Here is a 14,836-nt window from a genome sequence, read left to right on the forward strand (position 1 = left end):
CAAAGAAAGGCATGAGGGCAGTTCATGAGGGAACGCATGTGAGGGGACAGTCCTGTTGGGCACGTGTGACTGGGGGAATGGAGGAGGCTGGGGCATGAATGGGGATGGCAGAGGGGACCCTGACTTGCAGGAAAGACAATGAGCTCACCCTTTTGTGTTCTATGTTAGGGGCACTGTTGGTACATCCTACAGGACATGCCTAGCAGACAGAAGAGCAGCTGTGGGCTGGCAAGATGAACTCAGAGATGCAGCGTGAGGCCTCCGGGTCCAGACAGATCTGGAGCCCAAAGCAATGAGCCATGCATTGATGTTGTTAAAAAGGAGCTTATAAATATTTAAAGCAGCACCCAAATGTGTTCTAATAGAAATGCTGGGGCCCTGAGGTCCTGGGGATTGACAGAGGAAGTGATGTCACTGTGGGAACCGCCCTGTGGAGACAAGGACGTCACTCATCCTCTGCTCCTGCTCATAGTGACACTGACCTGGTAAAACCCCCGTCCTGGCCTGACCCTGCCATGGGCACCAGGCTCCTCTGCTGGGTGGTCCTGGGTTTCCTAGGGACAGGTGAGTCCTTAGAACACAAAGTAGTTTCAGTTTTTTTCTGTGTGTAGGCTTGTGTGTGTGTGTGCGATGACTACAAATATTTTCCTTATTCTGTTGCCAAATTCTATTTCCACAGATCACACAGGTGCTGGAGTCTCCCAGTCCCCAAGGTACAAAGTCGCAAAGAGGGGACGGGATGTAGCTCTCAGGTGTGATTCAATTTCGGGTCATGTAACCCTTTATTGGTACCGACAGACCCTGGGGCAGGGCTCAGAGGTTCTGACTTACTCCCAGAGTGATGCTCAACGAGACAAATCAGGGCGGCCCAGTGGTCGGTTCTCTGCAGAGAGGCCTGAGAGATCCGTCTCCACTCTGAAGATCCAGCGCACAGAGCAGGGGGACTCAGCTGTGTATCTCTGTGCCAGCAGCTTAGCCACAGCGTGGCACAGTCGCCTCCTTTCTGCTCACAAACCTCATCCTTCTCTCTCCTTGCAGCTCCTACAAACCCTTAACAGAGGCCTCTCTTTGCTCCTTACTTTTCATGGGAAAAAGGTAGATTTGGACCTCAGCTGTCCTTTGGGTAGAAAGAGACCGCAGATTCATTCCTGAAACACAGTGAGTGCAAATGTAGGTGGTGAAAACAATCAGAGCCCACTGCGCTCTGGGAGTCCTCCGAGCCAGCTCACTGTTCCAAGCAAGGAGTCAGTGTCTTAGCCTTGGCCTTCAGGGCAGACATGCATCTTCTATAGGTCTTGGAGGCTGCTGTGCTGCCCACATCCATGAGGTTGTCATAGGCAGGAAACACGCCTCTTCTTCATATGTTGGGGCATTTGGAAGGTCTGAGGCTACATCCCCAGGAACATCTTTCTTCAGAAGCCTGTTCTACCCCTGTCACCTTGGAAGTTTCTTCAACAAAATATCAAACATCTCTTCCTATAAAGTAAACATCTTTGCAAATTTGTGGTCCTTATTAATAAATACAATGGTGATAACAATAAGACTTCACTTCTTCTGCCTACTTTAAGCCACGTGTATCCTTTATTTTGTTTGCATTTGCCATTGCTACTGTCCTGATAGACAGAAGCATGCATCACCACCGCTGCCCGTTCACCTTGATTCCCTCAGGAAATCTAATTTCTAGACTCTGAGGGTTTTCATTGCTGTCAAACTCATTTGATTTGAAATCATTTTCCTGAGGCCTTTAACTCAAGAAGTGTTTTATTTATAATATTGAATATATTTCTTTTTTTTATTTTTCATATTATATTTTATTATACAGTACTTGTTATAAATAGAAGTACAATGATTATATTGTAATAGAATCTTCAACTCGTCTGTGGGTGCTGCTGCAGTTTGTATCTATGAAAGCGAATGCACTGGTCAGAGCTGATGTGATTATGGATCATGGGTTTCAGGGAGTCTTCGGCATCAGACCACTTCTCCAAGTCTGGGACTCAGTGTCCCAGATGCAGCCATGATAGAGGTGCCCTGAGTCTTTCATAGCTGGGAGGGGCATCATAGCCCTCCCAAATTCTCTGATCAGAAATTGTGGTGGTACAGACACCAAATTTCTTTCCCCAGAGAATGATGATCTCTGGTAGGGAGCTGCTCTAGACCCATTTTTTATTGTGCCATCATCAAATCATTCCTTGCTCAGGTACCCTCTGTCTCCTGGGACTGAGTAAGGCCAGGGCACAGATGGGAATTCCTTGTCTTCCTAGACCTTGTCTCTAACTGCTGCCACCTTCCTCCATGTGACTCCTGAGACACCTACTCCTAACAGTGGACAAGCTCTGACACTGAGGCTGAACAGAACACAGTCCACAATTGTAACCGGTGCTGCAACAACATGAAACAAAAGCAATCAGGACTTCCAACTTATACAGAAAATGAACATAGAAGAGTAGCAAAGGGCAGATATTACTAATGGACAAATAGGAAGGAATCAGTTTCTGCTCTAATGAAATCATTCAGTTGTCTTGAGTTAAGCAGGATAAACATTTCATTGCAATTACTTCAAGTCAAATGTAGCAGCTCCACAACCAACCAGCATAGCTATTTGCTTTGTGATCTTGGCAGCTTCAAAGGACTCAGAAATCCTTTCTCTGCACAAACATCCCTTTGTCCATTCCAAGACCCAGGATCACACACTCTGATCCTATCATGAAAACAATGAGGTGTGCTATACTTGCTGCGGCCTCATTTTTTGTGTGTTGAGTAGGAAGCACTGAAGAACTTTGAAAGCTTTGCTCTTGAGTCTAGGGATGTGCTGGAGCCAGCTTGTATGAGTCAGAAGAACCAAATAGGCATATTACTCTTCCCAGCTCCCAAGCAGTGAAGCCATGTTGGCCACTTGAAATCTACCATGGTGGGTATGCTGGTACAACCGAAATTAGGAAATGCTACCAGACATGCCCCCACCTTCACAGACACCCAGTTTATCAGCACATCCCTGGGGTATTTTCTGATGTCCCTGTTATGCCATTTCTTGTGGGGCCAAAAGGGCTCAGAATTCACCTCCCCTCTACTTTTGTTCTTAGAAGCCATCACCTAAGGGGGCCTCGATTGTTCCTATTTCTATTCAACCTCCAGATTCTCTTGCTCTGTAATTCTGTGTCTCCTGCAAGCATGCCAGTCTGGAACATGACAACTATTTTGAATGTAACTAAAGGTATCACTGAACCAGTTCATTATTTACAAATTATCTTTCCTCGCATAGAATATTCAGATGCTGGAGTCATTGGCAACAGAGATGGCCAAGTAGCAACTATTCTTCTGTGGCAACGAGAGACCCTGTAAAAAGGACAATTTTGCTTTGGAGACTAAGCACCTCCACACCAGTCAGGAATGACTCTGCTTTTACTTTAGGCTGAGAGGTCAGAAGGGTCAGAATACTGAGGGTCAGAGGCCCTCAGTATTCTCCTTTCCAAGACGGAGTATGGCCACTCTCCATCTCAGTCCCTGGAAGGTGTCCGGAGCTCCCTGAGAATCCCTGCTCTGGGGCAGAATCACCAAGGCTCATCCTCGCCAGCTCCCCACAGGCTCCAGCAGGGCTTTCCTGCCAGGTGCAGGGCACAGGAATGGTTCTATCTGTCTCTTGGTTAGAGGGAGGCTATGCAATGATGTTTGTATAAGAGGGACTGGGATTCTGGGTCTCCATTAAAGTATTTGATAATATTTTCTTTGTTTTTTGTTTTATTTTGCCATCTCACCACTTAGGAGAGCAATCCCTTGGTAGTTATATTGTTTTTGCACTTGGTAAGGTTTTTGTGGTTAAGTCACATTAAGAAATTGTGCCTTTTTTTCCTGTTCAGCTGTAACCCAAGGCAGTGAAAGAAACAGCAATAATTTTGAAAGCAGTTACTTATGCATCCTATGATAAAGGTGTTAAGTTCCATTGCCCACATCTAACTTTCAGTCTAGTGGAAATGAAAAGGCACAGTTAGGGGGCATGTGAGCCTGCCATGAGAGAGGTCAATGCCAATTGAGAAGTCTGTGCCAATCCCCAGTACTGTGGGATTGAAGGGGAGGGAGAGATGACCTCTCCTTCAGACCATACTCAACAAGGAGGGAGAGGGAGTTCATCCATGGGAACCTGCGGAGCAGCAAATCCCAGGGGCATCTAACTCAGGGTGCAGGAGCAAATCATTGGAAATGAAAATGGTCCACTTCAGCTGTCACAGGAGACAGGAGAAAGAAAAGTCATACATTCCACAGTCCCCTGGCTGATTTTCTTCCTTATGATAGTATTTTGCACCAGCGTGTCCTCATCTCCCGCTGCTCCTCTGCCTCTTTCATAATCATCTCTTCCCTCTTTGCTGCTCAGATCAGTGGATGTGCATTGTACAAGCTGATCATTTCCTGTAGCAGCACCTTTGCTGGTCTTACTTATGTTCATCCTTATTTTGTGCATTAGGTATTGCTCCCTCCACCATTGCTTATTTCCTTGTAAGAGGTCTCCTTTATATATTTCAATTTTACTTTTTATTAATAGACATTTTTAACTTCATCTTTTGCTTATCTATGCTTTTGGGGTAACACTGTCATTTTTGGAGGGCATTTTTGTTTATCCTTAGTCATTCAGATTAAATAATCTCTTTATACCTCAACGTCTGTGTTTTCTTACTATTTAAAACCAAATATTGTTTCCTTTCATTCCTCTCCTTCTGTTCCTCTTTCTTTAGATGGTAGTTTTAAGGGAGAAAAAGTTAGACTATAACTGGAGCTATGTGATAAGAGTTATTCAGAATGAGGGTGGGATATTAAGATTGGTAACTCAAAGCAATAGTCAGGGTTAGAAGTAGTGTTGGGATGAGGGTTTAGGGAAGCTGCTCATAAAACCTGCGGGATGGCACTTCTGGAATATTCTGGCAGCTCGCTCTGTAGACATTTCTCAGCAGTCCTTGGGCCATTGCAGAAGAAACAATGATGAAACTTCACTTATTGGCCACAAGATGGCACTGTGGTCCACTGGGAACTAAAGTACTCTGGGCAGTCTGGGAGAGCAGCCTAGGAGGGAAAGGGTTAAGAAAAATTCGGGCTTGGATCCCATATTATGCAGATGTTGCAGCAGTTTTCAGTTATTGCTAGGCTACCTACAGCTATGCAAGAGGCGGGAAGTCCCTCTAATCTTTAATGACATCTACAGTTGAAGAATGTTGGCTGGGCAGCTTTGGTGTCAGAGCAGGTGCAGACAGAGGAGCAACTGCCTCAGAGGAAAAGGCGAAAGAAAGGGGCCGGCTGTGCCCTGAGTCCAGTCCATCTCTGCTGCACTTCATCTTCCCTGCATGTCTCTCCAGGCAACAGCTTTAACCTCCTTGAGTGATCAGGGATTCTACAAGTTTATAAGTCGTACTGATAACATCACCTTGGCTTAGATTCCATTGGATACCAAGCACGTGTTCTCTGGAGGGCCAAAAATATTGACAACAATTTCTAAAACACCTAAGTAAACAAACTACAGAAGGAAAATATTAGTAGATGCACCAAACAGTGCCGTTAGACCTGAAGATAATCAACGAGTAGAATTATCAAAAGGAGACTATAAATAAGTCTCTACTAAGTATTTGTGGGCATCGAGCAGTGTTTGAGTCCTCTCAGGGTAGATTAAGGAAGGAATTCAGCTATTATCTTGACTTTGGCTTGGATGAAAATCCATGACCTCCTCAATTGATTTTCTTGTAAAATATTACAGAATAATATTGAGCAAACATTTTATTTTTCTCCAGCCTGTATCCCTCCTTAGCACTAACAGGTAAAGCGAATACCTAGAGGCAAGGTTTCTTTAGTTGGGATCCATTAACTGCAGGACTGGGAGGTCCATAGCTAGGCTTCACAGGGAGTGCAAACCCCACGTGCAGGGAACCCCGTGTGTCTGTGCTGTGCCCAACTCCCCTCTGTGAGGCTGCCAAAGGGGGACTGCCGGGTCTCCCAGGACCCCACTCACAAAGAGGGAGAAAGCTGCTTGCTGGGCAAAAAAATCAATTCACCAATTGGCCAATCTGTTGAAAGCCAGAAAGAAAAGAAACGTTCAATTGTGAGACTGATGAATGCCCAATTTCCCAAGTTATAAAATGTATAGCAGCTCATGGTTCTCAGAATGATTTCAACAGTATATGAAGATATTTTTAGAAAGTTTTTGTTTTTCTAAAGCATTCCTTGATATTGATCCTCACTTGTTTTTCAGCCCACTCATCCGTTGAGCTTAATTTGATGCCAAATTTCAATGTTGCCTATTTCAGTCACTGACCACTTCTCACATTCTCCATATCTTACACAGATACGTGTGTTCCTGTCTTTTCTTCTTTTTGTGTGATGCATTTTTAAATTGGGCTGTACAGAATACAAGCATACATTTGTAAATGACTGCCATCTTTTATGCAGTTTAGCTGTTTAATTTTTAGTAACACTTTTTATTAAGGTATAATTGAGAGTAAAACACAAGTATTAATACAAAAACATCCTGGTACATTTTGACAATTGCATACACCAGTGCAACAGTAACTGAAATGATTATAAAAAAAATTTCCATCACTCAAGAAAGTGTCCTCATGCTCCTTTCCAATCAATTTCTATCCCAGAGATAAAAACTTTTCTGTTTTTATCACCATTGACTAGCTTTGTCTATTCTTCAGCTTCATATAAATGGAATCATATTTTATTAGTTATTTTTCTCCAAAATTAGTATTTCTGAAGTGTATTCATATTGTTGTATCAGTAGGTCATTCTTTCTTATGACTAATATTCCATTGCATAAATATACCACAAATTTTTTGTGCATTCTCTTGTTGATGGATATCCATGTTATTCCTGTCTTCAACTATTATGAATAAAGTTGTTGTGAACATTCTTGTGGAAATCTTTCTTTTGGACATATGCATTCTTTTTTCTTCTTTTAAAACCTACACTTAAGAGTGGAAATACTGACTCATAGTGTAGATGTGTGTGCTATGCTTGCGTGTCCCCACAAAAGCTCATGTTGAAATTTGTCAGTGGAATGGTATTGGGAGGTGGGACAGCTATGACTAGGTCATAAGGGATCTGCCCTCAGAAAGAAATCAATGCCCTTATTGGGCGAGTGACTTAGTTTTCCTGGGAATGGTCTTCCAATAAAAAGGATGAATTCAGCTGTTTTCTCTGTCTTAAGTGCTTGCTTCCCCTTCCTTCTGCCTTGGATAACAGCAGGAGGACCTCACCAGCTGTGGCCCTTTGATCCTGGACTTCCCAGTCTCCACATCTATAAGCCAAATAAACCTCTTGTCTTTATACATTGCCCAGTCCGTGGTATTTCTCTATAGCAGTAGGAAAGAAATTGAAAGAAAATATGGCACCATGAGGCTGTTGTTATAATACCTGAAAATGTAGAAGCAGCTTTGGTTAATGGGAAGTGGCTAATGGATAGAGGTTGAAAGAATTGGGAGGAGCAGACTAGCAAAAGCCTAGACTCCTGAAAACAGAGCATTAAGGGCAATTCTGGTGCAGTGTCAGGGGGAAATGAGGGACAAGCTATCGGAAATTGAAGCAAATACCATCCTTGTTATAAATAGCAAAAACCTTGGCAAAATTGTGTCCTGTTCTAGGACTTTATGGAATATAAAATTATGAGCCATTCACTAGGATATCAACTGAAAGAAATATCTAAGCGGCAAAGCATTCAGGCTACTGTGTGACTACTTTCGGGCACCAGGAAATTTCACCCAGCAAGAAGGGAGCCATGGGAATAGATTTTGCAAACCAGCACAGATGGTAACCCTACCTCCCTCTGCTGTCCTGTCTCCCATAAGCCAAACCCTGTGCTGTGAGCTCTTAAAATCCTAGAATTATTTCTGGGGAATCTATACTCTTAATAATTTATAGACAACCCAGGTCTGCTTTGGATCTGATCAGACGGACTAAATCTTGGGGACTCTGCACCACTGGCCACTGAAGAAAGGGGCTGGGAATGTTGATGGGACAGGAAAATATAATAAGAAACATTGGTGTGAATCTAGTATCAGAAAGATGATGTGAGGACAACAAGGAAGAGCTGGAATGTGAGGGTTTAATCACAGGCTCCTCACCCTCCGCTGATGGGTAGGTGTGTTAGCTCCAGCATGGAGCACCACCGCACTAGGTGGGGGAAGGGTGAGAGGGCAATGGGGCAGCCTGTGAGCTGGGGCAACGTAGGCAGAGAAGGAACTGTGTCACCACAGAAACTTCTGCCTTCACCCATCCCTTCAGCTCTGCAGGACAGGTAGAGACTCCAGGATCATCCACTGAGCACTGGACATAAGGAAGGCTGCATGGGGAGGACACAGGACAGTGACATCACAGGATACCCCTCCTATTAGGAAAATCAAGGCCCAGAATTCACTCGGCTCTTCCCCAGGAGGACCAAGCCCTGAATCAGGTGCAGTGCTGCCTGCCCCACTGTGCCATGGGCCCTGGGCTCCTCTGCTGGGCGCTGCTTTGTCTCCTGGGAGCAGGTGAGTCCTGGGCACAGGACAGCAGCCCCATTCTCAGCTTTCCCACCCATGTCCTCCACTTTACCTTGGGGAGGACCTCCAGGCTTTCTGCTGTGCTCATCCTCCATCTGCTTTTCCCACAGGCTCAGTGGAGACTGGAGTCACCCAAAGTCCCACACACCTGATCAAAACGAGAGGACAGCAAGTGACTCTGAGATGCTCTTCTCAGTCTGGGCACAACACTGTGTCCTGGTACCAACAGGCCCTGGGTCAGGGGCCCCAGTTTATCTTTCAGTATTATAGGGAGGAAGAGAATGGCAGAGGAAACTTCCCTCCTAGATTCTCAGGTCTCCAGTTCCCTAATTATAGCTCTGAGCTGAATGTGAACGCCTTGGAGCTGGACGACTCGGCCCTGTATCTCTGTGCCAGCAGCTTGGCACAGCCCGGCAGAGTCTCTGACATTCTATACATAAACTTCCTGCCTTAGCTTTGACTTGAGAGCTGCAGGCCCCACCCAGGTTTCACTCCTGCAAGGGAAGCTTTTAGTTGTATGGAAGGCATGTGTTGTGTCCTACTGAGCACAGAGCTCTCCCAAACAGAGCCCAGGTTTCCTATGCCCTGAGTGTGCCGGCTTCTGTGCAGCATCTTCTTGCAGCTTGTCACTTCCTGGGTAACTTCAGTAGAAGAGTGACTGCGGAGCCCCAGATGTGTGCTAGATTCTTTGAATTTGTTATATAGCTTAAAGTCTTTCAACAACCTTGCACATCAATCATTCTTATTCTTCCTTGACAGATGGAAGTCTCAGGGACATTCAGTCATTTTCCCCAGTGTCTCCTGGCTTGTAAGGACCAGAAGTAGGAAACAAAGTAGTGCATCCATTTTCCACCTACCCCCCTGCTCCATCATCACCTTCTGTGTCCTGGTCAGTAAGTCAGAGCCCTCAAACTGCCATCTAGTGACCAGCAGGGCCTCACTAGAGGCTTACATGTCTTCAGGGGTCATTACTCTGGCCTCTTCATTAGAAACTTTGAGGAATGTTAAATTTAACACTTTTTAAAAATCATTTATATGCATTCCCTTTGTCTATCCCCAGTCTGCAGCCTACACTTTCATTTTTATGGTGTTTTACACAAGTTTAATTTAATGCAACAATAACTAAAAACAATTTTGTTTGTGTGTAGACAAAAACTGCTTTCTCATATAAATGTCTAATGATATTTTTCTCAATTTATTCTACTAAAATTTAAGTTTGGATTTTCACCAATAAGAATAAATGAACCTGAAATATATCTCATGTGAGAAATAAGATAGAGACCTAGGAATTGGAGGGAAGCACATATGTTCAGTGAAGAAGCAATCGTCTGTCAAAAAGAGCTCTAAAGTGGACACCTCGTGCTGACAGTGGAGAGATAATTGGAAGGCAAATTATCATGAACCTTGTCTGTCTATTGTCTTGTAGAAGAAAGACAGCCAGGAGCAGAGACAACATGGGCGAATGTTTATGACTGGACTTCAGGTTGAAGGTTGCAGCAGGTAGAGGGAGGAGTTGCAGGCAGAGGGCAGAATCACTAGCTGGCAGGGGCAGTGGCATCACCAGTGACTCTACTGACATCCAGGAATTATGTCCCCAACGCACAAGCTGAAAAACCTCCCACAATTCGCCGAATTTTCCCTGACCCTGCCTTGGCCACCAGATTCCTCAATGGTGAGGCCTTTTACCTCCCGGGGGCAGGTGAGTCCCCTAAAGCCTTTTCCTTGGCTTACCACATCCTAGCCTAAGCCTTTACCACAGGTCTACATTATTGAGGTCCCTCTTTGGGCACTCAACTTCCTTCTATCATAGACTTCATAGAATCTGGGATAACCAGATCCCAAGATACCAGAGAACAAAGGCAGGATGCGAAGCAACATGGAGATGCTTAAGACTGTCATCCATGACTACATGTGTAGGTGTTAATAGGAGCTGAAGCTGGTGCACAGCTGATCCGTCCCAGCACACACTACAGAGAAATTGCTGAGGGTCTGTAACTTTCTCTCAAAGCCAAATATGTGGCCTTGGTGTCAGACAGCCTCTCCCAGACCTCTGTGCCCTCTTGCACCAGCAGTCACCCCACAGCCACCTTCCTCTGCACACAATGCTCAGTGGAAGATATAGGTGGCCTCGTCTTCACGAGACTGCGATCCAGGCAGCGGAAGACGTTGTCCCATAGAAGTCTCCCCAACACTGCCCAGGCTGGGGCCCTCAGATTTCTGAGCAGCTCTGTGCATGGGAAACTCTGCCCTGTGCTGAGCTTCTCTTCCAGGCCAGTCTCAGCTGGACGACGGAATGTACTTTACCATGATGTGAGTGGATGCAGCCTCTCTTCCAGGCCCCTCCTGCAGCTCTGGCCTCAGAAGTCCTTTTCTTCAGTTATTCTCGAAAGGAAAGCTCATTTGAAGTTGTATATTTGCAGACAGCATTGACAACACAGGTCTATGTTCTTTTCCCTGTCAGCATTCACAACTCCATCTTCCCCACACCACGCTCATATCAGTCCTCAGCCTCCTCCACGTGATGTCCGCTCCCAGCTGTCCTCTCCCTTCCTCTGCATCCTCACCTCCAGGTCAACCACAGATGCCTCAGTTCAGGCCATTCCTCACGCGTCATGCTCCTCCTACCAAAGCCCTTTCCACTCCACGCTGTATCCTCTGGGTCAACACAAGTCTCTTCTTTTTTGTTCTTGCTCCAAATCTCAGTTTAACCACTACCATCTCTAGGGATACGCTCCTTCAACAGTTTTCCTAGGCTGCACCTCCTTAATATAAATCCTCACAGCTCATAATGTGCGTTAGTATTCATAGATTTAACACCATTGTCATTTTCCATGACTTCGGGTGACTAATGGACTCTTCTCTTGCTCTCTAGACTGTAAAACGCATCATTTTAGAAATTGTGGATGTTTTGTTCCTGATTTTATCATCAGTACAAACAGCGGTTCCAGGTGCCAGTGGCCAATCTTGAAAGAATAAAGGATGGATAGTGAAAGGCCCTCTGGGTTCCCACGTAGAGTGTTTCAGAAGTCTGGACGCATTAAGCGGGAACCTCTATCCCTTCATCTCCTAGGATCTAATGAGTCCTGGAAACAGAGGAGAAATCCCTGTCATGGATGAGTAACTGGATCCAAGCCTTTCTGCAGGACTGAATTTCCTAACTGCCCACCGCCTTCCTGGCTTTTCTCCTCCAATGTCCTTCCCTCACAGGTGTCCTGGATTTGGGAGTCTCGCGCACCTAATCATTGGCAGAGTGGTGTGAAATATAGCATTAAATACTGGCATTAAAAGGTGATGGAGGCTGGGTGCAGTGGCTCATGCTTGTAATACCAGCACTTTGGGAGGTCAAGGAGGGCAGATGATGAGGTCAGGTTAGCCTGGCTAACATGTGAAACCCCAACTCTACTAAAAATACAAAATCAAAATTAACCAGCCGTGGTGGCAGTCGCCTATAGTCCCAGCTACTCAGTAGACTGAGGCCGGAGAATGGCGTGAACCAGGGAGGTGGAGCTCACAGTGAGCTGAGATCTCACCAGTGTACTCCAGCCTGGGCGAGAGAGCAAGACTCTTTCTAAAAAAAAAAAGTTCATGGAGAAAAAAACAAATGGCTTCTCCATTCTTTGGGTGGCTTTGAGGCCATGGTGGCTGCTACACTGAACTATATCATTAGTCTCCATTTCCATGAATTGGTGGGCAATGTCAGAGACACAGAGTTCATGGTCACCAGCTTCCTCCAGCGCACACCTGATTTTGGTTCAGGGCACTGAACAGAGACCTTTGCTTGTTCCCCTCCTTTGCCAGTTAGGAAAGGCTGGTTGTGAGGCAGAGGCTCCACATATAGAGCAGGGCTATGTGTTAGTCCCTGAAGAATTGTGAGAGCCATTCTGGGTGGAAATAATCAAATATACAATCACCAAGGATGGCCCACAGATAGACCGAAGCCCCAATTTTGCTGGAGTGATTTGCATCTATGCTTTAAAGACAAATGCAGTTTTATCTCTTTAGGCAATAAAGACCAAAAATAGACTAGCTATTTTAAATAATTGAACCTTAAACAGACCACAGTCAGAACATCTTCCCTAGGGACAGCATTTTCTTCCACCCACTCACTAAAGCTCTATTTGAGAAAGCTGTGTGCTGTTGATAAACACTGGAATATCGTTACAATCGACATTGTAATAATACTGCTACTTGGATCAGAAACAAAGAGCATTTCTAAAGCTTGAACAATGTAAAACTGGAAACGAGCTCTCACTGAGTTTGGAAATGCAGGCACTAGAGGGTGCTCATTTCTCTTCCTTTTCCAATCAGGGGCTATTCAAAGGCTGTTCTAGAACAAGGGGTGAGATCCTCCACTTCCCCGTGGTGATCAGGCTTTCACAGGTAGAAGCCTTATTAGTTCATAATCAGCCAAGCTGACCTCACCATCAAATGTATCGACCTCGATGCTCACCCTCCTCAGCAGTCAGAGACTGTCTGTGTTCACCAGGAGCTCGTGTGCTTTTACAGAGCACACTTTCTCCTCGGTTTAGTAAAAAAAATAAATGGGCCATTATAGGGGGTTCCATAAACAGAAGCTTTCTGTACTTTGCCCATTTAGACACTACAAATTCTGATGTCTGACAAAAAGTGTAAACTTAAAGCTTGCATGTGGTTAAGAACTTTTAATAAACAAATTAAATAATATATATAATGAAAATGTCAATAATGCTCTCCAATCCAATCCCACCTTCCACTCATAACCAATATTAACGCTCTGGTGTGCTTCTTTTCACCCCTCTTTTCTGTGTTCATGCACACCTTTCTACCCAAGTACACCTACAGAAAATGGGTTCACCTGTACACTTTACCTGCCACATGCATACTCTTTTCTGTTAATATATCCTGGTCTTTATTGTTCCAGATTGGTTGATATAGATCTAACTTGCTCCTATTAGCTGCTTCACATTGCATAATGAGGGTAGACAGGTACATTTGTGCTCTATTGTCTGATTCCTAAATTCTGCCAGATCTTTTCCAAAGTGACTGAATGGCCTCTTTGTGCTTCCGAGTTCCTCTCACCCCAGCACCCAGTTGATGATTCCAGCGTTTCCATCACTCATAGTCCTGGCAGGTTTGAGAGCTCCATTGGTTCCTCCTGCATGAGGAGACAGGGACGGATAAAAGGATAGACCTTTATCAAACCTAACAGAGACTACACGGTATCTCAGTTCAACCTCATAAAGCATTGAGGGGAATGTTAGTCTTGTTTTATAGATGAGTCTAGATGAGGCTAGAATCCAGGAAAGTTAATGAATGGCCTTGCCCACGGTCTCAGAGCTAATAAATGGTGGAGGCAGATGAAGGGCAGTCAGCCTGCTTCCATGTGGAATTGATAGAGGGGTCACTGGACTTTGACAGAGGGGAAGTCTAGAACCATCTGGGGCTGTCTTCAGATCGGACACCAGAGTTAAGAGAGCCTGTGTACCCTACAGCACTGCAGATAGAAGCATCATGGTGTTGGCAGTGGGGAGGTACTAGAGTGTGTAAGTGGTTAGTGGCCTACAACCAGAAGACCTGAGTTTTGAGAAAATTATTCCCATCACAAGATGTAGCAGAGACAGTGATATGGATATACTAGACCAGAGAGCTCTGTGAGGAGCTCTGTGAGGAGCTGTGGCCTAATCATGCATCAGGCCACGTTTGTGTCCATAGGTCATGGGCTGTGCTGGGTGGCCACCATCATCCATACAGAGAGGGCAGTCAGCAGCGTGAGGTGGTTCTGCCTGCTGTGGTCTCACCCCAGGCATGGAAAGCAAGAGCCCTGGGTGGAGCTGAAGGTGCTCAGCTGGGCTTGTCAGGAGTCTCATCTGTCAGTGGATTGACAAGAAACAGAGCAAAATGATTCCTCCAATGTTGATGAGCCTGCCCGTGGGATCTGGAAAGCTAATAACAGAGAAAACCAATATAGACAAAGGATTTTAAACAGGATTATGGTCAATTAAGCAAATTAGAAAATGATACTTGAAGGAGTATTTGGGACGCAGTAGTCAAAAACACCAGGAAGACATGAGGAATTGCCCTAAGACTCTAGACTACAGCACTATGTAGATAACTAACACCAGACTATTAATTATATCATTGAAAAAATAAAATTTACAGTGAATTACAAACTGTTTACCAAAGGTTATGAAAATCTTGTAGACTTGTTTTAATTCAGACAAATGTTTTCTTCTCATTGTCAGCTGTTCTCTGGCGCATTTATTTTGGATTGAACCATCTGGGGAAGAGGCGTGGCCTCTCCTGACAGGAAGGCTCTGGGGCCCAGGCAGGGAGAATGA

At 45.0% G+C, this 14,836-nt stretch overlaps 1 long non-coding RNA gene, 2 gene segments (V, D, J or C) and 1 further gene, besides 6 other annotated features; 3 read left to right on the forward strand and 1 right to left on the reverse strand.

The window, feature by feature from the left end:
* TRB (T cell receptor beta locus) overlaps positions 1–14,836 on the forward strand; it is a 514,277-nt gene that overhangs the window by 155,648 nt on the left and 343,793 nt on the right.
* Positions 516–977, forward strand: TRBV7-4 (T cell receptor beta variable 7-4). The segment is given in 2 exon segments: positions 516–564; positions 680–977. Coding segments are annotated over 2 exon segments (347 nt in total), but the record flags the coding sequence as incomplete, so codon positions are not given.
* Positions 978–984: a recombination feature (RSS_heptamer).
* Positions 985–1,007: a recombination feature (RSS_spacer).
* Positions 1,008–1,016: a recombination feature (RSS_nonamer).
* On the reverse strand, positions 6,435–14,775 carry LOC107986855 (uncharacterized). The gene is made up of 2 exons (XR_001745394.2): positions 8,572–14,775; positions 6,435–7,334 (listed from the first exon to the last, which is right to left on the reverse strand). It is a non-coding gene; the product is annotated as an uncharacterized LOC107986855 (long non-coding RNA).
* On the forward strand, positions 8,459–8,923 carry TRBV5-4 (T cell receptor beta variable 5-4). The segment is given in 2 exon segments: positions 8,459–8,507; positions 8,630–8,923. Coding segments are annotated over 2 exon segments (343 nt in total), but the record flags the coding sequence as incomplete, so codon positions are not given.
* Positions 8,924–8,930: a recombination feature (RSS_heptamer).
* Positions 8,931–8,953: a recombination feature (RSS_spacer).
* Positions 8,954–8,962: a recombination feature (RSS_nonamer).

The sequence above is a fragment of the Homo sapiens genome, chromosome 7 (assembly GCF_000001405.40).
Source record: "Homo sapiens chromosome 7, GRCh38.p14 Primary Assembly".
NCBI lineage: Eukaryota > Metazoa > Chordata > Mammalia > Primates > Hominidae > Homo > Homo sapiens.